Here is a 24,735-nt window from a genome sequence, read left to right as displayed (position 1 = left end):
CACTGTGACAATCAAAGTTACCCATACATTTCCAGACGGGTTGGGACAGAAGCTGTAGGCGTGACACCGTTGCTGGCTGAGAATCTACTTCTACAGCATCATGTTATGTCCATTGTACAGAAATAGAAACAGAGGATCACAGATCTGAGTCATTTTTCAGTCATGCAGGAAACAGTGGATTCTGTCCTAACACCCAGGTGTGGTCTTGCTTCTTAATCCAATGGTTGCCTTGAGAGGTGTCACTGGAATCCTTCCATTTGTGTGCAGGCAGTTTGATAGTAGAGGAGGTGGAAACTCTCACCAACCTATTGGTCCAGTGTGGACTAAAATCCATGGAGTTGCAGGACAAAATCTCCTTGAGTGACAGGTAGGAGTCTTGGAGCTTCAAATCCATGGGAAGGTTGGAATTACAGGATCATAGAGTGTCAGGGCTGGAAGGACCTCCAAAGGCATTTAGTCCAGCTTGCCATCGTGTCTGATGCTCCAGTCCCCAGCAGCAGCCATTAAGTGGTCACCTGGCTCTGCTTGCATGCCCCTAGTCACAAGGTGCTCACCACTCATCCAGGCATTTATCTCATTTTAACTCCTCTGACACTCTTCAAGTATTTGAGTCTAGACATGTTATTCCCCCTCTCTACTCCAGAAGAGTCTTCTTTTACCAAGAAACAACGTCATCAGTGGCTTCAACTTACCTTACATCACGCATTCTCAGCATCATACTCCCTCTCCTCTGAGCATGCTACTCATTCTTCACTTTACTTTTGAAAAGTCATTCCCAGGACTGAACACAGTCCTTCGGGGATGGACAGCCAGCTCAGAGAAGAGCTGGACCATGTCCTTTGTCCCAGGTGCCAGGCTTCTGTCTGTGCAGCCTGGAGTTGCATTGTCTTGCCCACTCCTAGCTGAAATCTCTGCCCTATTCCCACCTGATGCTAAGGTTGGACTTCTGAGGTTTGGGGTTTTTCTCAGAATTTTGAATGTACGGAAGGTATGTGAGTGTGTGTGTGTGTGTGTGTGTGTGTGTGTGCGATATTGGAGGACTTTTTTAATGATTTTTTCATATTTCTTTCTTCTCTCTTCGTTTGCCCTCTTTCAGTATCTAATCCCCGCTTTTCTTTCTTTCCTCTCTATTTTTCTTCCCTCCAAGTTTTTTGCAAGTGCAGCACAATTAAGCAGACTTATTTTTCTTCTTTGCATGACCTATCCAAGGCTGACCAGAAGTTCTGAGTGTGTGGGTGGTAGCTTTATGATGGATTGTGCCCACATTCAAAGAGACTCCTTCTCAGTTTGAGAACATCCCGACAGTGGGAGCCCAGATCCCTGCTGGACAGGTGCATCCCCCTTGGGGAAGTATCCACTATTTTAAAATCAGCTGCGGTCACAGAGCTCCAGGTCCCCCTCCACCCTCCCTGGGGAGATGAGGCTGGGCCTCAGCATCACACGGTCCTTACTTAGTGTTGCCATGTTTTCCATTGTACTCATATCCAATTCTTCCACAATGTGGCCCTATGGGAAAGAGGATGGTTATCACGCCCATGAACATGATGGCTTTCATATTCAAGGCAGCCTCGGACCCTGCCATTTTGAGTGAAGATGGGTCAGAACTGCCTCATGGAGCGTCTTAGACCATAGTGTTTACTACACATCTTGGTGTTCTTTTGTTTTCTCTGCAAGCATTACAGATAGATAGGTTTGCACAGATAATCTGAGAAGCCTGGCAAATGATGCAGATGTATCAGTATCCAGAGGTTTGACCCCCAGGTTTTTCCAAAGGCTAGGTACACCTGGAGGACACTTTAATAAGGTAGGAAAGGCATCAGCTTTTTGGTGTTTTTTTTTTGTTTTTTATGGTTTTTTTTTTTTTGAGACGGAGTCTCGCTCTTGTCGCCCAGGCTGGAGTGCAGTGGCACGATCTCGGCTCACTGCAAGCTCCACCTCCTGGGTTCACGCCATTCTCCTGCCTCAGCCTCCCAAGTAGCTGAGACCACAGGCACCCACCACCGTGCCCAGCTAATTTTTTTTTGTATTTTTAGTAGAGACATGTTATCCAGGATGGTCTCGATCTCCTGACCTCGTGATCTGCCCGCCTCGGCCTCCCAAAGTGCTGGGATTACAGGCATGAGACACTGTGCCTGGCCGGCATCAGCTTTTTTGGCAAATGTGCCTTGATATGAGTTGAGGAGGTTATTCCAAGCTGAGAGACCAGAACACACAAAGATATGGAGATGTGTGCTCAATGAGCTACACAGGCTTCTGGCAGATTCCCAGGAGCCAGAACACAGAGGGCTTTGCAGAGCTTGGACTTTTCCCAGTGGACAAATATTTCCTTAAGTGTGTTCCTTGGAACTGTTGGAGCCCTTGCAAAAAATAGTTCCGTGGTCAAAATATTTTGGGAAAGACTATACTTCACTTGTATAGTTGAGAACCACAGTGTATATCTGCAGATTAAAGACTCTGAGAAGCCCTGCAAACCCCATGAATATGTACAATTATTATGTTTCAATAAAAAAATTAGTGACACTAAAAATAAATAACACTAATAATTTTGTAAAACCCATTTAATGGAGTTTTTCCCCAAATTTACTTGGCCATATGGTCTTTTTTACTTGGTAACTCTGCAGGAAAGTGGGGTGATAATTGACATGGGAATTGACTACAAGGAAATAGAAAACAGATCAGTTCCTCCCTCTTCCATACTAGAGGATTTGATGTCAAGAGCCTGCTTAACCATCTCAGAAGTGTCTCATCCCCTTTTTCCATCTCTGAAATGTCTGTAGTGGACATTCTCATGCCATCTCCTGATACCAGCATCCCATGTCATGGGTGGGCCTTACATCTTTCCAAAATCTACCCCAAGGCCTTCTCTCAAGCTTAGGGAGATCACTAGGCCAGTGTAGCTCAGATGTGTGGGGGCGTTGACAGTGCTAGGGATGACCTTCAACCAGCAGGAGGCAAGAAACAGATGTCCCAGCTTCCCATTTTTCAGATGGATAATCTTGGGAAGTCTGTCCACAGCTCAAAGGACTCAACAGTGGCCTTGATAACACCCCCAACATTGGTTTTTTTTTTTTTTTAACATTCTCTCTCTCCTTCTGCCGTCACTTCTGCTTCCTAACATCATCTTCCAATAAATTACTTGAACCCAAGTTCCTACCTCAGGTGATGCTTTTAGGAGAAACACATATGGAAACAGTGTCTGAGTGTCAGGCTTTACCTCCATAGGCTGAGCAGCTGCAGCTGTCCTCTGGGCCCCAGAGTGAATCTCAAGGACCACACTGCGGGGGGCCTTGGTAAATTGCTGCTCTGGAGCCAGCATTAAAGTGTGGTAGGCCTATGCTACTTCTGGCCAGGTGGCCTTGGAAAGTCACTCAGGCTCAGAGCTTCAGTTTCCTCATCAGTCATGGGAGAATAATCCCACTTACCATGTGTTGTTGGTGGCAAGATTCAACAGCAGTGCTCAGATTGTCCCACTGCTTGGCACATGCTGATCTGCCAGCAAACAGCACCTATGATGACGCCATTGCTTTCGCATGACCTTCCTTTCCCTCTTCCCTCCCACTCTGTCTGTCCTCTCTCCCAGACATCTTTGTGCTGATTGCCTCTGTGCCAGTGGTTGCTGTGGGAAACCAAGGCAATGTTCTGGCCACCTCCCTGCGAAGCCTGCGCTTCCTGCAGATCCTGCGCATGCTGCGGATGGACCGGAGAGGTGGCACCTGGAAGCTTCTGGGCTCAGCCATCTGTGCCCACAGCAAAGTAAGTGTGGTGGAGAAACTGCAGGACCACATGGGCTTCCCACCCACCTATGCCCTTCCATGACATCCCTTCCTTTGCAGTGTCCCCAGAAGGCAGTCATTCTGCCACCCTTGATGATAACGACAAAGAGGAAGAGGAGGAGGAGAAACAGGAAGTGGCGGGGCTGGGGTAGGGGCAGGAGCAGGTGTGGTTCAGGGAGCAGGAACAGGTGAAACTGAGGTTAGGTATTGGCTCCACCATATGCAAATGACTTTGGCCAAGTTGCTCAGCCCTCTTTGGCCCTCAGTTTTCTCACTTTTAAAATAGGAATGATAATGCCTATTCCTTCAGATTTTTGAGAGGATGGAATGAGCTCATTCAAGGCCACATGCAGTGGGAGAAGAAGGCTTGGGGATCACACAGGTTGGTTTGAATCTGAACTCTGCCTCTGTGACGTTGGGAATTTTTTGCGTCTTGGTTTCTGCATTTATAAAATTAGAATAATAATGCATTGACTTCATAGGGTTAGATGAAGATGAAATGAATTGATATGTGAAGAGCACTTAGAAGGTACCAAGCTCATGGAGATTGTTCAGTTGCAATTATTATGTAAAGCCCAAAGCACAGTGCCTACAACTTAGTGCTTGACAAGGACTAGCTCATCCCATGAATCAGGCACTATTGCCACTCCATTACACTGACAAGAAAGAAAACACAGAAAGAGGAAGTACCCGCTCAAGGTCACGCAGTGGGATATAAACCCTGGCATTCCAGTTCTAGGGTTTGTGTCCAGTGGTTTGCTGCTGGTTTGCTGGGGTGGTGGTGCTCACCTCCCCCAGGTAGATCAGAATCCAGGAGGGATGGAACTCAGTCCATTCCTTTTCCAGAGTCCCACGTGGCTGAGCAGGTATGGAACCCAAGCAGCCAGAATCCAGTTCATTTAGATTCATGGTACTGCTTGTGTTTCCTTCCTATTCCTAACCCAGGTCTTTGGTAGCACTTTGTTTTAATCTAGCTGCTTTAGCTGGATTCTGGAGGAATGAAGGAAAACCCCTGTGTCTCAGCTCAGGCAGAAAAAAAATCCCGAGAGGAGAAATCAGGAGAAATCCCTGGGATGGATGTTCTTTGGGGGTACAAAGCCAAGCTTGCCTTGCTTCCCAAGAGAGTATCTTTTTGCACCCACCCTGGTAGGCATACTAGATGCTGTTGTTGTCCCACCTAGGTCTCTTTTAATAGGAACCCTATGACCATTTCCTCAATAATTACATGGAAATGTGTCACATACACTGAAATCCCTTTCTTGGGTTCTGTTTCTGGAGAGCTGGACCTGAGGCAGTGAGCCCTGGGCAATTTGACATTAAGGAGCTTAGAGTTTTCCTTATGCATGTTAACGTGACCATGCCACCTGTAGCTGGACAGCTCCAGAACATACCTTCACAACCCCTGGTTCTCTATCTCAAGGATGCACCTAGATACGTTGAAGGGGTAGTGGTTTCCTATGAGATTGCATCTCGGAGTAGAATATGAGCTTGAGAGTCAGACAGCAACTTGGCTCAAAATTCAGCTCTGCCACCTTCCAGCCAGAAGGCCTTAAAGATGTCATTCTATTTTAATGAGCCTCCTCAATGGTAAAAATGTGAATCCTCCTGGGTGCTCATGCGAGAAAATGTGCATTTAAGTGCCTGGTAAGTCATAGGTGCTCATTAATAGTAGTGTTTTTTATTCTGAATATGCTGTTCCTCACATACCATACACATAAGCATAGACATAAAGTGGAATGAAAGCATAAAATACCTGGGAATCTTTCAGCTTAGAATGCAATTTCTTGCCATCTGTGTTTTATTTTTTGTCTGTGCTACTTCTGGCTGCAGAATCAGTGAGGTCAGAGCATGCTTTACAGGCCCCTTTCTTTCTCCTGACCTTCTATTTTATCTTTTATCAAAGGACACGTTAATAAAACCCCTATGGGTTCAGCCATAACCTGTATCCATGGAGCTGAGTTGATTCACAGTTCTGGTCAACACTGGTGCTAAAAATTGCTGGTTTAGGCCCTTGTCCTGTGTTCCTCTAGACTATAATAGATCCCCAGTGCCTGCTGGCTTTTGCCATGTAATTACCAGAGACCATTGGAAGTTTGTGATATAATTCCTCAGTATATATGGATTTGCACAACAGCCAGACGCCAGTGAGGCAGAGACTGTTTCCCAGGGGTGGGAATGGGCTCTGGAGCAGAGCTCTCTGCACATAGACTTAGATTTACAGGCTGTTGTTAGACTCCAAAGTACATGTTGTGAGTCCTCCCGAAAGCTGTGCTACCAGAGCTGGGAGGAAGCTCTTCCCCAAGGAAATCACCAAGAGTACTGGCAAATGGACATTTATCAATTCATTTCTTCATTCATTTATTCATTGTACTCTGGGCCGGGTACTATGGCTAACTCTTCTGGGCACTCAAAGATCAAGTGTGGGAGGCTCTGTTGCACAGGGTTAAACTTTCAAAGTTAATGCTTTCACTAGTTAGGATAGGTCAGGTTCTCCTCCCAAAATAAATGAGCCCTAGAGCTCCCACCACCCAGCACAAAAACCTAGACGTCTTCTGGCTTACAGTGTATCCGATGTGTGCTGGGTGGGCCCCTTTCGTCTTGAATTATGAGGACTTGAGTCACCAAGGCAGGGGAAAGGAACCTGGAGAATCCTGCAGAATGGATTTAAGGGACAAGGAGGGATTCACTCCCATCACTTTTCCATATTGGCTGGACCCCAGTCCCTTAGCCTCAACTTGACTGCAGGGGAGCCTCAGCAGGTAGAGGAGCTACCTGTTGGGGAACAGTCACAGGTTCTGCCACAGAGCTGCTAGCAAAAATTGTATAAAGTCAGAATTATTTGGAATAACTGCAAAGTAAATGACTCCAAAGTACAGAATTAGGACCCATTTTCACTCCTTAATGGTGACTGTTATACCATCTCTTATTAATCCAGAACAGTCAGTTTTTATGTGCACACAGAAACAGACAACTGTTGATTTGGTTAAGTGCCAGATGAAACTTCTGACTTGCATTTGGGGGCCAGAGAGTATGAAAAAACATATAAGCACTAGGACCACACTCCATAGGCGAGAGGCTTATGCCCAGGCAATCACTGGGTAAGGACTAGTCCATGTACGTTTCCGTCCTCAAATTCCCTGCAGCACAGAACCTCGCTCACCAAAGAGAATGGCTGGCTGGGTCGCCTGTATTATCTAAGTGAACCCCTCTGCTATAGACCAAACTCACACCCGTACAATGTGTATGTGATGCTGTGGGCAAGGCCAGAGCATAATAGCAAATGAGCATAATAAAATGTTGGAGGCTTGGAGAAGTATGTTTAGAAAATGGGGAGGGAATAAAGGAACCACAGCTGAACTCTATCTTTCATTGGGGGAGCAAACATCTAGAAAAATTTCATAGTGGAGGTGACATGAGTCTGAAGATGACTCCATGCTCTTTGGTTGGTCCCAGTGTGGGAGGGCTATTCAGACTGCAGGACCCATGTGAGCCAAGTCCTGCAGGGAGGCAGGAAGCAACCCTGTCAGGAAGATTCTATTGGCCCAGAAGGGCCAGCTGACTGGCCGCAGATGGTCAGATACAGGAAGGATATCAATGTGAACAACTTTGTTCTCTGAGATGACTCAGCAAGAATGACAGACAGTCTTAAATCTCCAGATTGTGTTCACCAATAACCTTGCCTTTCTTCCTGCCCAACCTACTATGATAAATCTTGAAACTGGAATAGAATGAGAGAAAGAGAGAAAGTTGGAGCTGGAAGGAGCATTAGGTCTTGTCTCCATTAGGGGTTTTGAAACTTCAGTGAAGTTTCCATCCATACCATCCTGACTATTACTTAACACTTTTCATTAAATCACCTTACTCTTGTTTACTTAGTCATATGTCCTAGTCTATTATATGATAATATCCATGAAATTACAGGCTTGATACCTTCTTTTGCATAGGCTCTAAATCAATATTTAATGTAAAGCTGCATTTCACCAGTGGTACACAAAACGATTTCAGGAACTCTGTGGCTCTGTCCCTTCATTTAACAAATGAAGATACTGAGATTTGGGAGAAGAGGAGAATTTGCCCAAGGCCACACCATAAACTGGTGTCAGGGCTGGGTCTCTGGACAGAGACCCTGCTTTCCTGGTTGTACCGAGCTTTCTCCTTGCTCTACGCAGTCCTGCATAGACCCAAGTCTCCTGAGTCCTGAGCCTTGTATTAGAAGAAGGAGCCACTTCCTCCTGCCTTCTTGCCTTCCTCTGAAGCCTCTTGAGCTGTGATATTGAAGTGGCCCTAAGCTAGAAATCTTCCTCTCCTCCTGGAGCCATACACTTTTTCTGTTAATTAATGATGAAATAACTACCATGTTAATGATCCCATTTTACAGTGATGGAAGATGAAGATCAGAGAAGGTGAGTGATTTGACCACAGTCACAGAGCTGGTAAACTTGGACTCTAACTCTGGTGTGTCTGGCTCCAGCATCCACTCAACGACTCCCCAGTGACCACTTTTCATGTCCACTGTTCATTCTTTCAGGAACTCATCACGGCCTGGTACATCGGTTTCCTGACACTCATCCTTTCTTCATTTCTTGTCTACCTGGTTGAGAAAGACGTCCCAGAGGTGGATGCACAAGGAGAGGAGATGAAAGAGGAGTTTGAGACCTATGCAGATGCCCTGTGGTGGGGCCTGGTGAGTCACTACCTTGGAGGCCAATTCTGTGAGATTGACTGTCAAGAGTCAGAGAGAGGTGGAGGGCATCACATGAGCATGTTCAGCCAGGCAGCTGCATTCTGCAGTCAGAGGTAAGCTCTAGACCAATTTCAGCTCAGAACCTGCTGACAGAAGACCCTCCTTCAAGGTGGGCACTTGGAATTGACTTTTCTCTAGCGTTTATAAGAAGCCAGGGCTTGGAACAGCCTGGTTGCATGGTCGTTTATGGACTTAGCCTTATTAGTCATAGGCTATTTTCAGCCAAGCCATGCATGTGCAAACAAACCCAGTGACAGATACACATGTGTGCTCACACAGACCTGTGTGTGCACAACCCTACACCCACAAGGACACACAGTACTAAAGCTGGCATTCACTGAAGGCTTTCTTTGCTCCAGAGCATCTCTCTGGGTGCTTTACTTTCACTAACCTACTTTAAACTCAAACAACTTCTATCATTAGCTCTTTTTAAAAGTAGGGAAACTGAAGCATGAAGAAGTTAAGTAACTTCAAGGTCTTTCAGCCAGTAAGTGGCTAACCTGGGATTTGAAGTCAGATAGTTAGGCTCCGGAGGCCACACTGTCAACTGCTCTGATAATCCTGCCTTTCACATGCAGATACACATGCATAAGTACATGTATACTGATAACATAAACATGTAAACACACACAAGAATATACTAAACACACCAGAACAGATACATGCACAGACATTAGACATACACACATATATACACAATACATACAAATATACTCACAAGCACACATATATTCACAAACATGGCTATAAATAAAATCACAAATTCACAAATATACACACACATGAATGCTCGTGTACATACACATTTGCAATTGCTGAAATATTTGTTGACTGACTAAGGTAGGAAACCCTTAACTTATCAACAAGTCTCAAGGCATCCATATAAGTTAGTAGGTACTTGGTGTCTTTTCTCCTAAGGGAACCTTGTTATGAATGGGAGCATTGCCCAAGCTGATGGAGAGGCTTACAGGTAGAGCTCAGTTAACACGTTCCTGATATTCCTCTCCATGTGGTACTCCATGTCTGAACTCTTCTCTCTTCAGATCACACTGGCCACCATTGGCTATGGAGACAAGACACCCAAAACGTGGGAAGGCCGTCTGATTGCCGCCACCTTTTCCTTAATTGGCGTCTCCTTTTTTGCCCTTCCAGCGGTAAGTACCTTTGATATATGACATCCCCAATGTGACGTGCAGGACCCCTTACCGCCTGGTGCCAGCTCAACTTTCCAGTGTCATCTTCTATCCTCTTATACCCTACCAACTCCCTAGCCATTCCCTTAAGCATGATGATCCTGCCTTTTTGCCACAGGCCCTGCTGCTTTCCTTTGCCAAAGATTTCTTCACACATCAACTCCTCTTTCAATGCTGCCTTCTTTAGGCTGAGCTAGTCGCTCTGGGCATAACTCTGGGAATAATTCTGTAAAGGAGTTTCTGGCCCTATGCTAGGATTACACATTTCTAGATCTGCCTTCCCCAGAGGACTGTGAATTCCTTGGGTTCTGGGATTATATTTTTCATTCATGCATTCCCAGTGCCTTGCACGGAGCAGGTCCTTCATTTATGTGAGTTCCCTTCTCTTGTCCTGTTACTTACTGGCTTATGTAAAAAATACATGTCTCTCAAGAATAAGCCTTGACCTATGATAGAGTAACTTCCCCAACGCCCAGTGTCCAGGTACGTAATAATAATGAAAGCAGATTGCATTTGTTGAACTCACTGTGTGCCTGAATCATGCCAAATGCTTTACCCACATCATCTCATTTAATCTTCATGGCAACATTATGGGTCGGGTGCTGTTTTTATCTCAATTTTTCAAATGTGAAACCCGAGACTTAATTGGGTTAGTAAATTTTCTACAGCCACAAGGCTACTGTGTTGTAGAGCCAGGAATCCCAAGTCCACTGGTTCTAAAACCTGGCTCTTAATCATGAAGCTTGAAAAAAACTTTTAAGTAACAATCTCCCTGCCACCCACTTCCTCTTCCATTCTTTCATTGGTGATGTTCTTTCTCTATTTGCAGCCCTACCTTGTCGGTTTTTTTCCTAAGCTATTTGACCTTGAGCAAATGACCTTCTTAAATCTCAGTTTTCTCATTGATGAGTCAGGGCCATAGGAATGTTGCAAGATCTTCAAGTTCTCTTTCAGCTTGGAAAGTGTGTGTTTCTGGCCACTTAATCCACTGGCAAGTCTGACCTGAAAATCAAAACAGATCCCAATTCTGGGAAGTTCCGGCTATAGTCAAAGTATCACGTGACAGTTCAAGCAGCTAAAATATTTTTAAAACTCAGTTAACATTACTGGGCATCTATTTTGTGCAGTACCCCTTACTGGCAGTTTATAAAGGTTATCTCACTTTTTTCTAATCATGCATTAGGTATTATTATCCCACATCCCTATAGAAAAAACCAATATGCAACAGGGCTAAGGGGCTTGCCCAGGCCCTCACACCTGGAAAGTGGCAGTGTCAGAATTGGAACCCAGGTCTTCCTGACTTCAAGGCTCATTTCACTTAACCAAGCTCCCTACTCTCTTCAAGAGAAGGAAGGGCTCTTTCCCCCTTCCCTTCTTTGTACAGTGTTGTCACTGCAAGGACTTGAAGTGCAATTGAGCCCTACAGTCCCCATTACCCTGGCAATGGAGCGGGAATGCTGGGACAGTCTAGCTGGGGGCTGACTGCCTGCCTGCCTCTCCCTCCAGGGCATCCTGGGGTCCGGGCTGGCCCTCAAGGTGCAGGAGCAACACCGTCAGAAGCACTTTGAGAAAAGGAGGAAGCCAGCTGCTGAGCTCATTCAGGTCTGTCTGCCTGGGAATGAACTGGAATGGGATTAAGATCCATGCATATGTACATACGTGTGTGTGTGTGTATGTGTGCATGTGTGCACATGTGGAGGGGACATACTCATGAACTGGGACAGGACCCAGGATTCCATGTGTGTCTGTGTGTCTTGTGTGTCTGTGTGTGTGTGTGTGTGTGTGTGTGTGTGTGTGTGTGTATTAATGTGCCCAGGCAGGAGCAGGCCTGCTTGCACATGCTTACTTGTGGATGGCTATGGGGAGTTTCCATGGGTATCTATTTCACCTGTTCTTCTGTGTACTGAAGGTGACAATCCTGTCACTCTCTCATTCAGTTTCTAAGCCAAGAAAGAAATAGACACAGAACTCAAGGACCAACCTATCAGCTTTTTTTTGATACGGTGGTTTTTTGAGTTTTTTTTGAGACTCTCTTGTCCAGGCTGGAGTGTAGGGTGCGATCATAGCTCACTGCAGCCTCCATCTCCCAGGCTCAAGCAATCCTCCCACCTCAGCCTCCTGAGTAGTTGGGACCACAGGCATGCACCACCACACGTACCACCATGTACACCACTAGACCTGGTTAATTTTTTTAATTTTTTTTTTTTGTAGAGATGAGGTCTTACTATGTTGCCCAGGCTGGCCTCAAACTCCTGCACTCAAGCCATCCTCCTGCTTTGGCCTCCCAGAGTTCTGGGATTATAGGCATGAGTTGTGGCACGTGGCCTCAGCTTTTTTACTGATGGTGTGTTGGAGATGAGAATTTGGCTTGGACCTGGGGCTGCACTAGGCTTTCTTCTCCTTCTACTTCCCCTCAGATTTGGCCTAGGGACCCATAGGGAAGAGTCAGCCTAAAGTCCAGGTACTTAGCCAATCAGCTACAAGGAGAACAGTCTCTGTCACATCTGCCAAGCAGAGAGCCCATAAGCCAAGAGAGAAAGAGATGCCTTACATGTGCAAAATATTAAACACTTTTCCCATTTGTGCTGCCCAGTAGACAACCATGGACCAGAGGATGTTGGACATGCACCTGCCAGCCTTCCATCTCCATCACTAGCCTCACATGGGCTGGGGGTTGCAGGGAGCAGTGAGAGGTGATGAGAGAGGCAGAAGTGTTTCCTCTTATATTTCAGAGGGAGTTCCTGCTTTGTTTTAATGGGTTATTGGAGGATGAGGGCACAGTGAATAGGAAAGCAGAGTGTCCTGTCTACAGCTGCCTGTGTGCGAGGGCATGGCCACCCACTGGTGAGCTTTCTCCAGTTGTAGTGAGTGTCTCTGTGGGTCTGTGTGCCTGACTCTAGATGGTGCATGATGTCATCCCGCATATTGTGGTTCCTAGGCCTGTCCCAGTTTCCAAGAGCCTGACCCATTAACTCCCCACACCCCAAACCATCAGAGAATCCTAGAGATTCTAGGATATTTATGTCAAAACCTCATCTGGTAGGCTTTCTCTTGCACCCAGAAATGGTACAAAAGACTCTGTTCTCCTATATATTTGACTGAGAAGTCTCAGGGAATCTTCTGGAAAGAGTGGCACTTGTTTCTGTTTATTTTTAAATATTTTATTGTTTACTTTTTTTTGAGACAGGGTCTTTTACTCTATACCCAGGTTGGAGTGCAGTGGTGCGATCACGGCTCACTGCAGCCTCAACCTCCTGGGCTCAATTTATCCTCCCACTTCAGCCTCCCAGGTAGCCGGAACTACAGGCACGTGCCACCAAGCCCAGCTTTGTTCTTTTTTTTTTTTTTTTTGTAGAGATGAAGTTTAATTATGTTGCCCAGGCTGGTCTCCAACTCTTGGCCTCAAGTGATCCTCCCACCTTGGTCTCCCAAAGTGCTGGGATTACAGGCGTGAGCCATAGCACCGGCCTTTAGTACTTGTTCCTTTCAGGGATTTTATGCCTACTACTCTCTTCTCTCCCTCCACTCCAGTTCATCTCTCCATTCCCCCACTCACCACAACACCAATTATAGCTCCAAGATGGTCAAGGAAGTTTTTCTTCCCAAAGCAGCTTCAAAAAGCCAAGAATCTCGGTTTTTCTGAATGTTGGCTCAATGCACATTCAAATTCTTAGGAGTCCAGGGCTTAAACATTGTTTTGTTGGTGTGGGAGTCTGTGCGAAAGTTTCAGGTGGTGCCCACTCATTGTTGCCCCTCTTTTCTGCCCCTCAGGCTGCCTGGAGGTATTATGCTACCAACCCCAACAGGATTGACCTGGTGGCGACATGGAGATTTTATGAATCAGTCGTCTCTTTTCCTTTCTTCAGGCAAGTGGGGACTCACCTGAATGCTCAGGGCGTGACCAGCCATCTCTCCTGCGGTCTGTATTCGTGTCTGTGGCCTCACGGGTCCCTGGAGAACACTCTTCAGGGCAATGTTCCCCAATTTGGGCTGCACCCTAGAATTATCTGGTAGCTTAAACAGTTCTGGCTGGGCGCGGTGGCTCACACCCATAATCCCAGCACTTTGGGAGGCCGAGGCGGGTGGATCACCTGAGGTCAGGAGTTCCATACCAGCCTGGCCAACATGGTGAAATCCCGTTCCTACTAAAAATGCAAAAATTAGCCGGGCGTGGTGGTGTGTGCCTGTAATCCCAGCTACTCAGGAGGCTGAGGCAGGAGAATTGCTTGAACCCAGGAAATGGAGGTTCTGTGACCAGAGATTGTGCTACAGCACTTCAGCCTGGGCAACACAGTGAGCGTGAGACCCTTTCTCAAAAAATTAAAAATAAAAATAAAAATAAAGAAAAAAAAAATCTGATGCCTAGGCCACACCTCAAGCTAATTAAGTCAGAATCCCCAGGGCCGGGGCCGCAGCATCAGTATATTTGATGCTCCCCAGGTGATTCCTCTGTGCAGCCAGGGCTTCCCAGTTAGCCAGCACAGAGTGGCATGGAGTAGCTGATAAGGAAAGGTCCGATCAATGTGTGAGCAGGATCAGTGGGTTGAGGAAGTGGGCAGCCCACACAATGAGCCACCCTGAAATCTTGGATGTTCCTCCAACCTGGGCATGGCCTGCACCCACAGACTACTCTGGACTCCAGGAAAGGAAATGCGGAAGAGGACAGCAGGAAGAGTCCTCTAGCCACCCAGAGACGCTGTTTCGTGTTCTCAGAGGTGGGAGATTGAACTAAAGATCTCAGAGAAAAATAAGAACCTTTTTCTATGGTTATGGAAAAGGGAAGGCAAAATTAATATGCATTGGATGCCCACTATGCTCTAGGCATTCGAGTTCATTATTTCATTTATTCCCCACAGGTACCCTATAAAATAAGTCAGAAGATTTGAGGTGCATCAGACTTAATGGGGGTATTGTGCAAAGTAGATCTGGCCTCCACTTTCAGCAATTCTGATGGAAGTGTGATGGTAAATGCATCCTGAACAGGAGCCCCTGGGGTGGGGCTGAGCCAGTGGCCCAGAGTCCACACCTGGAGCCAGGCTGAATGGTTTAAACTCCCAGGCTACTTTCAGAGAAGCTAGCAGAGTCAGGCTCTGACACTTTGAACCAATGTCAGCTACATCTGGAGGCTTTCAAAGCCCATGGTCTTTTCACTACTTGAGCTTCTAGAACAGAGTGCATTTTTTTGTTTTTGATACTAGGGGCCTGAGCTCAGATTGTTAAGCGTATGGGTAGTGTGCTGGACTCCTAGAACCCTTGACTTGGAAAGAAACATAGATGGACAGTTAGCCTCATAGTTGGGGCTGGAACCTGCCTCAAAGCAAGTTTCTGTCATTGTGTCTACAGGTTCAGTGGACCCTCATATAACCCAATGCTACTAGATAGGGGGCTCTCTCTGTGCCCAGCCACAACTCCTCTGCAAACACACACACACACACACACACACACACACACACACACACACACACACACACACACACACACATATTCATTATCCTCAATTTCTCTTTCTACTCCCATCTCCAGATTATGGAAATAGAAGAGAATTGCAACTCATTTTCCGGCATAAAACCTTCCAGTCAGTGACCATGACAAAGTAAAGAAAGTCCAAAACCTGACCATGACCTCCAGGACCCTGAAAGATTGGGCCCCTGATCACCACCGCCACACACCTCCTATCTTGCTTTCACTCCTCAAAAGGTTCTGGTGGCAGGTGCCACTTTCTGTTCAGGGCACTCAGGGCACTCCGTCCACTAATATTTTTGATCCCCTTGTATGTGTTAATCACTGGGACAACCATGGAGGGTCACGGGTGACTTGCAGAGGAATCTAACTTTGATCCTGAAGGCAATGAGAAGCTAGATGAGCCAGAGAATGACATCAGTAGATCTACTTTTCAGGAAGATGATAGCAAAGAGTGTGGAGGATGGATCTATGGACTCAAGTCAAAGCAAGAAGATCAGCTAGCAAATATTGCAGGGTTCAGAGTAAGAGGAAATGAGGGCCTAGACCAAGGTAAAAGCAGTTCGAAGGGGGAGTAGAAGGAGGACCTGAAAGAGAACAGGCAAAAGGGACCCATGACTGGTGGGAGAGTTAGAGGGGTCAGAGGAAGCAAGTCTTCAATAAAAGAATGGGAAAGTTTGGGTATACTTACTTGTAACTAGACTTACTTGCTCAGAACATGACTTACATGTTTCCATTTGATTCTAAAATGCTATCCCTGTTATAATCATTGAAGATTTGGGATAGCATAAAGCAGAGTCTTCTTAGAATGGGCAGATGACTTCCCCTTAAGAGACCACAGTGACCTTGAACTCAAACAAGAACACTTTGGATGCAGAACCAAGACAATTTCCATTTGGTATGCATCCCAAGGTGTTGGCAATGGGCCCATTCTTTTGGGTTGATGTATTATAAATAAGGCATTGTCCTAGCTGTCAGAGACTTGGAGGAATACATTGTGCTGCAGACAGCTGCTGTGATATGAGAATGGTTTTTAAACTAAGAGAATATATTTCTTTCTTTCTTTTTTCAAGGACGAAAGTATAATGTCCCTAGAGAAATTCATTTAGCAACCATTCTGAAGCAAGGCAGTCCCTTGGGAAAAGAATGTCCCTGAATTCCAACCCACTCTGTATGTTAATGGCAAAGAAGTAGCTGACGACACACTGGTGTTTTCTTACCTACCTCCTAAAGGTTTTCTTGTCTTTTGTTTATGCTTGTTTTAATAACAACTTTCTTGAGATACATTTCAAAACTCACAAGAGGATTTTATATACCATAAAAGGTACCCTTTTAAAGTGAACAGTTCAGTGGTTTTGAGTATATTCACAAAGTGGGGTATCAATCACCACTATCTAATTCTAGAACAATTTTATTATCCCAGGAAGAAATTCTGTCCCAGTGAGCAGATACTCCTGGTTCCGTCTTCTCCTCAGCCCCTGCAATCACTATCTACTTTCTGTCTTTCTTTCACCTATCCTGAACGTTTCATAGTATAATGAAATCATATGATATATTGTCTTTCTTTTATGCATGGTTTCTTTCACTTTGCATAATGTTTTCAAGTTTCATTTGTGTTGTAGCGCCTATCAGAACCTTTTTCCTTTTTATAGCCAAATAATATTTGATTATATATACCACATTGTGTTTAATGATTCATCAGGTGTTGGAAATTTGGGTTGTTTCCACTTTTTGGCTTTTGTGAATAATGCTGCTATGAACATTCACATACACATTCTATGGACATATGTTTTCAACTCTCTTGGGTATATGCCTAGGAGTAGGATTGGTAAGTCTATGTTTAACTTCCTGAGGAACTGCCAGACTGTTTTCCATAGTGGCTGCACCATTTTAGATTCCTGCCAAAGGTTTGGAAGGATGAAGTTGCGTAGCCCATCTGCAACATGATGCCATATCACAATTTTCAGCTTAGTGTAGTTCTTTGTTAATTTGCAAGTATCTGTGTTTTGGGGGCTAGCAGTGATGGATGACGGTGGTCTGTTCTTATTTTTTTTATTACAAATTATAATTATAAACTCATTGTTTTGGAATTGCAAAGAACTTCAAAGAGTTTCAAGTCCAAACCCAATTTTCTATGAGAAAAACCTGAGAGCCCCCAGAAGTTCAGGAACCCCCAAGAAGTTCAGGCCACATACCATGCTGGGCATAACTGAGGGCAAACCCAGGTCTTCTGATCTGCTGACCAGTGGAGACTGAATGGACTTAGTACAAGTTGGTCATAAGGGTCCGAGGGGGTACAGGAAGATGCTGGGGTAGGAGTGATGGCAGATTATACGTTCTTATATACAAGCAGGGATGAGGGAAGCTGTTAAAAATCAGACATTGCTTTTTATAAACAGAGCATGTGCATTGTTTTATTCCTGGTAGGGAGAGTGGAATTATGTCTGGCTTTTCATTTTCTATAGCTGCACCGTTCAATATGGTAGCCACTAGCCTCATGTGGCTAGTGAGAATTTGACTGTTAGCAGTGCAATTGAGGAACAGATTTTTTAATTTTAAAGTAAATAACCTTCTATGACTAATGACTACTCTATTGGACAGCACAGCTCTGGAATTGTTAGCTATGAGAACTGAAATGGAGATAAGAAGACTTCGCCCACGATGTAGAAAATACTTGACCAAGAACAGGTAGTTCATTGTGTAACCAGGACTTGTTCCTTTTACGACCAGGGTCAAGATTATTGGAGTGCTTAGAAATGGAGAAAGGGGACTATATGCACTAGTCATTTCCTATGGCCAAATAACATTGGATCTGCTTTCATACATACTATCTTATTTAAGCTTTAGGATGTCCTGGAAGGTAAGTAGAAGGGGTAACTCCATTTTTCATAACCCCATTTTTATAGGTAAAGAATAAGAGAGTCAATGAGATTAATTAGCTTGCTTAATATCGCTCAGCTGATAAGTGATGGAACAAAGATTGGAACTCAGGTCTTGTGCCAAAACCTATGTTTTTATTTTGCATTGTATCTCTGGGAAGAAAACATTATTTAGGGAGAAAACTGGATAAAAGTAAGATGACACAAGGGTTGTTTGGATAATAAGACCCATTTTTGAAGATTGTTGTTTGGATGGTCAAACTGAGTAAAATGTGTGAGAGTGGTTGTCTTAGTCCCTAGCCCATAGCAAGTGTTCAGTCTCGGCTGATTGAATCTGGGCTGCAAGGGAGTATTGATGCCGAAGGGGAAAGGAAGCCTCCGAATTACTGCCCTGGGAAACCACTGTTAGCAACCATGATCTAGAACACTCTGGAATGTTGTTAAAACCCTTTTATTCATTTAGTCCATTCATTTAGCATATATTTATTGATCATCCCTTATGTGCACTCTATTTGGTATTGGGGATCTAACAGTTAACTGGACAGGTCAACTGCACTGGTCCTTTCCTATCATAAGGGTAGTGAAGATAAGATAGGGATGTGCTCATGGGATGTTGTGACTTGGAGTTGGCTGGGGCTTTGGCTAGAGCAATCTCAGTGGAGTACTGGACACAGAAGCCAGATGACATGAACTGAAGGGTGATGAGGAAATGAGCAAGTGGGTTCAGTGAGTGTAGGTGACAGCTGGAGTGGATGTGAGGCCAAGAATTTTTTTCTTTGATGGAAAGGGTCTAGTAGAGAAGGATAAATGTGCATATGGGAGAAGGGGAAAGACTAGAGGAGAGAGAAGCAGAGATGGCCTGGTCTGTGGAGTATGGGCCTTCATTAAGAGCATGGGCCCTTCATCCATTGGCACAAAACAGAAGTCCGGTGAGTGGAGCCAGATGGTGAGACCATGGGTAGATCTCAGTGAGAGGGGAGTCAAGGTCATCAGCTGGGAGGAAGGTGGAGAAGTGAGAGAAGTCTGATGGTAGAAGAGGAAGCATGAAATACTCATCGTGGAGAGTGAAAGAGGAATGGACAGTGCTAATCCTTTAAACTTTCTCCCTACCATGCCTTCTCTTCCAATATGCTCTTCAGCTGCCCCCTTGCCCTTTCCTTCCCCTTACTACCTTTCCTACTTCTCCTGGCCTCAGAGACTCAGAACATCCTAGAGAGTCACAGCTTTCTGTGTCCACCTGCTTTGTGATCAACTAACTCATCACTTTATTGTGCTCGCGGGGAAATGGGCCCAGAGAATGTATGGCCAGCCCAAGGCCACACTGTAACTAAATGCTGAGCTGACCCTCAAAGCAGAAATTCTTAACTCTTTTACTTCTCTGCCATGATTCTCTTGTTCTGTCTTCATCCCTCCCACCCATGGATCCCTATGTTAGGCCAGTCATTCTTTCAACATTTAGTGAGCACTCTCACGTGCTGGGCTCCAGAGTGCTCATATTTTAGACAAGAAAAAAAAAAAACGAGACTACATGTAATTCTACTACAATGTGATCCACGTAATAATGACAGAGTACCATTCCACTTGTGAGGGGATTTGCTCAGTGTAGACCTTGGGCAATTGAATAAGAACCCCTAGGAGGGCCCCTCCAGGTGTACATAAAGGATGAGTAGGACTGTTCCAAGCAGGGAAAAGAGGAAGGGAGTTCCAGGCAGAAGGAGAGCCTGAGAAAAGGCTTGGAGTCATGAATATGTGTAAAGCACGGCTGGTGCACCTCCCAGTTAGGAGTGAGGGCTCCAGAGCCAGATCACCTGGGTTTGGATCCTGACTTTGCTGCCTCCTAACTGTGAGCCCTTGAGCAATTCATTTAATCCCTCTGTGCCTCAATTTTCTCCTCAGGGAAATGGGATGATAATAGTACTTCATAGGGTTGTTATGAGGATTAATTGAGTTAAGACAATGTTCGCTATGATGACAATGGTAGTGACAAAGTTATGGGGGTGTGTGACTGCTACATTATGACATTCCTGGTTTCCTGGTCTGTCTCCACCACCAAATAAATTTCCTGAGCTCAACATGAGAGCTGGGGCAGAGTAAGTGCTCAGCAACCATTTTCTGGATGAATAAATGAATGAATGACTGGCTGAAAAGAGCCCTGAAAACCTCAGAGCCAACGGGAGTAGCATGGGCTGGGGTCTGGATGGGTAAACCCGCCTCCTTCATTGGTTCCCTCCACACTGACCATCCTGTCCTAGAGCTCAACTCTGCTCCATCATCTTCAGAGAGAAGCTTTGCAGCAATCTTTCGAGGAAGGATACAGCTGTTTCACGTAATTTATGCTTTATTTTTTCTCCCTCTTCTCTTTCTAGGAAAGAACAGCTGGAGGCAGCATCCAGGTAAGTTTCTGATTATGAATTCCCTTCTTCACATCTCTGTGTCAAGACAGAGCATCCTGCTCCATATGGTGTAGGGCCCCATGGGAGGTCATGCTGGTCCCAAGATAGAGTCTTTGGGGTCACACTGTTGCTGACCACCATAGTCCTCTGCCTGGTTTCCTTCTGGTTGATCTGAGGGAAACTTAATAGGAATCATGGCAGCAGCCTCTTATTGAGGGTCTGGGTTCTGTGTCAGGAGTTCTGCATATGTTATCTCATTTGGTCTTCATAACCACAATGTAAGATAGGCCCTAATATCATCCCTTGTGGATGAGGAGATTGTGGCTCAGAGAGGTTGGGTTGAGATTGAGTGGCAAGACCAAAATTCAAAGTCAGGTGCAAATATTAAGACCATGTTATTTTCATGATATATCATTTCATCTGCTTCTTGGGCTCACAGATGGTAAGTTGACTCGAGACTGTAATTCATGATCATCATGACTGTGGAGGTTTCCCAGTAAACCACATCTATCTATATACCTATATGACATGTAGAAACCATTTTTAAACGATTATTATTGACCAATCATTTGTGAGTCCTCACAATCAATCTCCTGGACACTAAGTCCAAATGCTCTCCTCCTAGTGCTGACAGAATTTGGGCAGAGGAGGTGAGAGGACCCTGGACTACCTTATAGGGGAGCCACTTGAGAACAGTGGCCTTTGGGAGGCCAAGTCAAATCCTCCCAAGTGTTTCCATGAAGCCCTATCCACACAAAATCCCACTTGGAAGAGACAATTACTGACAGTGTCAGTTCTGTTTCCTTTGGGTGTGTTTTCAAATGAACCACGTGGTTCTTTCCTGGACCCACTTAGGACTGTAAGGGCCTTTGAGGAGATCGTAAAGGAGGGTTAGGTGAATGACAGTAATGGTGTCAGGACATTCACTAGAGAATCTTCAGCAGCTCGTGGCTCCCAGAGGCAGAGTGAAAGGACACCACAGAGATCTCTGCAGATAATTCTATGGAAACCAAGGTCCCTGGAGAGGACAGGCTCATCCCACATCACACACCCCATAAGCACCAGGAGTAGATGATCAAGGTCTCAAGACTCCCAACAGGGTGTTCTTTGCTTTCCTTCTTTCATGACCAACAGGTTTATAAATCGTGCAGATTTTGACACTGCAAGTGAATTATTAAATCTACCTTTAGAGCCTTTTCTATACAGACATGAAGAAAATTCATTGAAATCTGCATTCAAATATCACTGTGCCCTGGATTCAGCACTTCCGGTTTAATTAGGGCTCAGATAGATGCATTTTGAGGCTTTCCTGGGGATGCCTCCCTAGAAAAGGGGCTTCTGATATCTTGTAATCAACTTGCTCATGTCCCTTTCAAGAACCCCCCACTCTGCCAAGAGCACAGAGGGAAAATCTATCCCATTATTGCTGGGTGTTTGGTGGCTCACCCACCTCAGAGAAGAAGAGCAAAGTCATTATGTAAGTCACTCAGTCTCCTTCATCCAGGGTTGGGACAGAGTCAGACTGGCTGATGCATTAGCAGTTGAGATGCCAGGTGTGATTATAGCTGCATAGCCTACAGATGGAAATGAGACCTGGAGATGGGATGCAAGAATTGCCAACAGAGGAATCAATTCCTTTACGCAGGAGGCGGGGAACCAAGTGACTACAGAATGTCAGGAATGTATGTGTGCATTAGGGTCACACTTGATGGTATGCATTTTCCACCTTACAATAGCTTCTTCAACAGGCCGACAGCCACCTGGTGTTCCAACCTTCCTTTATTCATATTTCTTTTTTTTTTCTTTTTCTTTTTCTTTTTTGTTTTTTGTTTTTTTGAGATGAAGTCTTGCTCTGTTGCCCAGGCTGGAGTGCAGTGGCACAGTCTCGGCTCACTGAAACCTCTGCTTCCTGGGTTCAAGTGATTCTCCCGCCTCAGCCTTCCAAGTAGATGAAATGATAGGCGAGCACCACCACACCCGGCTAATTTTTGTATCTTTTTTAGTAGAGACGGGGTTTCACCATGTTGGCCAAGCTAGTCTCAAACTCCTGACCTCAGGTGATCCGCCCGTCTTGGTCTCCCATAGTGCTGGGATTACAGGCATGAGCCACCGGGCCCAGCCCCTTTATTCATATTTCTAAATAGAGTCAGATTTGGAGTTTATCTTATCGCCTCCTTCTAGCATAGGTAGCCTATACACTTGTTTATTTGTCAGGCTGATGAAAGAATTATATTCTCTGTAACTTAACATGCTGGTGCTATATTGGGGATAAGAAAAATGACTTTCCAGTCAGGTTATTGGAAAAAGCTCAAGTCCATATTTAGTTATAAAGCTATGGCTTTATAAGGGCTGTCTTGAATGTTTTGATTTACGTGGACTTGTCTGTGGAACATAAGCCCAGCTGAATTCTTACAATGACTGGGAGGTTGGCTTTGATAATTTTATGCTAAGCATTTTACATATGTCATCTTATTTGATTCTCATGAAAGTGAAGGCAGCTGACACCCTCCCATCCCTTCTCACCTAGTTTAGATGCCCAACTCATGATGCCCTGAGGTAGGACTCAGAACTTCCCTAATAAAGCATATATACTTTATAACGCTCGGCCCCTAGTAAGCCCACGGTAGAAGTTGGCTCTTTTCTTTCTGATTAACCTTAGAATCAGAAAGCCTGAGAAGGAAGCATAAAATTATCAAAGCCAACCTCCCACTCATTGTAAGAATTCAACTGAGCTTTTATTCCTCAAACAAATCCTCATAAATCAAAACAGTCAAGACAGCCCTCATAAGCGACAGCTTTATAACTGACTATGGGCTTGAGTTCTTTTCAATAAACTGATTTGAAAGTTATTATGTATCTATACAAATATAATAAGGTTCTTATTTTATATATGACATAAATATAATACATATTTACATATACACCTGTTAAATCCTCTCTTCCTCTCTAGACCATGAGCTCCACAAGGCTAATACTCTGCCTGAAGTGTAAGATGTACCCCACATGTATTTGCTGAGTGACTATAAAAAATGACCTAATTCAGGGATGAGTTGTACCTCTGTTTTACTTATGAGGAAATTGATCTCAAGCATTTACATAACTTACAACTAAGTCAAACACTGAAGATGGACCTTGCAGATGCATAGGGAGTCCATTAGCCTTCCTCCGCATCAGCTGGACTCTGCCTGCAACACAGGTGGCTGTCATGCCCTTGTTATCCATGAGTGCAGAATGACCTCGGCTAATACAATGGACGCATGATCTCAGCTCTTGTCTTCCCTCAGCCAGAAGGTCTTATCTCACATTTTATGTAGCCCCCTCCTTCACTTCCTTTGCAAGCCTGCCTAATGTCACCTCCCAAGAGAGATTTTTCCTGACCCTCTGCCCCTGACCCTGTCTCTATCCCCATGATCCTATGATGATTGCCTGTTATATATATTAAGTCAGTTGCCTCCAAGGGGCTAAGCTCTTTTCTGTTTTATTCGCTGCATTATCTCCTACACCTGACACAGTGCCTGGAACAGAGCCTGACACATGGTTGGCTTTCAGTAGATATTAACTTTGTGAGACAGTGGATGGATGAATGGATAGATGGATGGATGGATGAATGGGTGGATGATGGATGGATGGATAGATGGATGGATGGACTCATTATTCTACAAGTGTCATAGTGTTCCACCCAACTTAAACTGAGGGAGGTGTACTGGTTCACATAGGCAGCCATCAGAGAGGGTGGGAACCCCTAAGAAACAAGGACTGGGACCCCAGGATTTTCTCTCTTTATCTCTTATCTCTGTTTCTCTTTTTGTGATAATTTTACTCTCAGCCGACTTTCTCCATATCAGTGAAGCAGTAGATACTAACAGCTCCAAAATCACATATATTTCCTCTCTCTTCTGTCCACCTACCCTTCACCAAACACCAGTTTCTAAAATCCCAGAGAAGCACTCAGATTGACCCAGTTTGAGTTACATATTCACACCCTGGACAATCTCTACCCCTTGAAGAGTAAAAGCCGCTACTGTCTAAGCTCTGGACCAGATTTCCACCTGTTAGAGTGAGTGGGTGTGGTGTAAGATACTATACTTAGCAACCCCCATTAGAGTCACATGATTGAAGTGGGATACTCAGTTCTTGAAAAGAATAGGGCCCTTTTTTCCTCAAAGAATGAGGGACGAAACATCAAGTAGACAAAACACGATAATTGTTCATTGCAGGCATAAATTCTACCTGTAAGTTTTCAAATTCCTAATAATAATATTGCATTAAAGAACGTGAACAGTTAACCATATT

At 44.9% G+C, this 24,735-nt stretch overlaps 1 protein-coding gene across 5 annotated transcripts in view; it reads left to right on the top strand.

The window, feature by feature from the left end:
• Window positions 1–24,735, top strand: part of KCNQ3 (potassium voltage-gated channel subfamily Q member 3) — a 360,235-nt gene that overhangs the window by 297,186 nt on the left and 38,314 nt on the right. For all 5 annotated transcript variants that reach the window (XM_047421769.1, NM_004519.4, XM_011517026.3 and 2 more), the window contains exons 4-9: window positions 3,581–3,753; window positions 8,302–8,457; window positions 9,561–9,671; window positions 11,217–11,312; window positions 13,482–13,576; window positions 20,416–20,442. In XM_047421769.1, the coding sequence (XP_047277725.1) occupies window positions 3,581–3,753; window positions 8,302–8,457; window positions 9,561–9,671; window positions 11,217–11,312; window positions 13,482–13,576; window positions 20,416–20,442 (658 nt within the window). The remainder of the gene's footprint in view (window positions 1–3,580; window positions 3,754–8,301; window positions 8,458–9,560; window positions 9,672–11,216; window positions 11,313–13,481; window positions 13,577–20,415; window positions 20,443–24,735) is intronic.

The sequence above is a fragment of the Homo sapiens genome, chromosome 8 (genome assembly GCF_000001405.40).
Source record: "Homo sapiens chromosome 8, GRCh38.p14 Primary Assembly".
In the NCBI taxonomy this organism is placed as follows: domain Eukaryota; kingdom Metazoa; phylum Chordata; class Mammalia; order Primates; family Hominidae; genus Homo; species Homo sapiens.
Note: the sequence above shows the minus strand (reverse complement) of the source record. Positions and strands in the feature narration are given on the sequence as shown.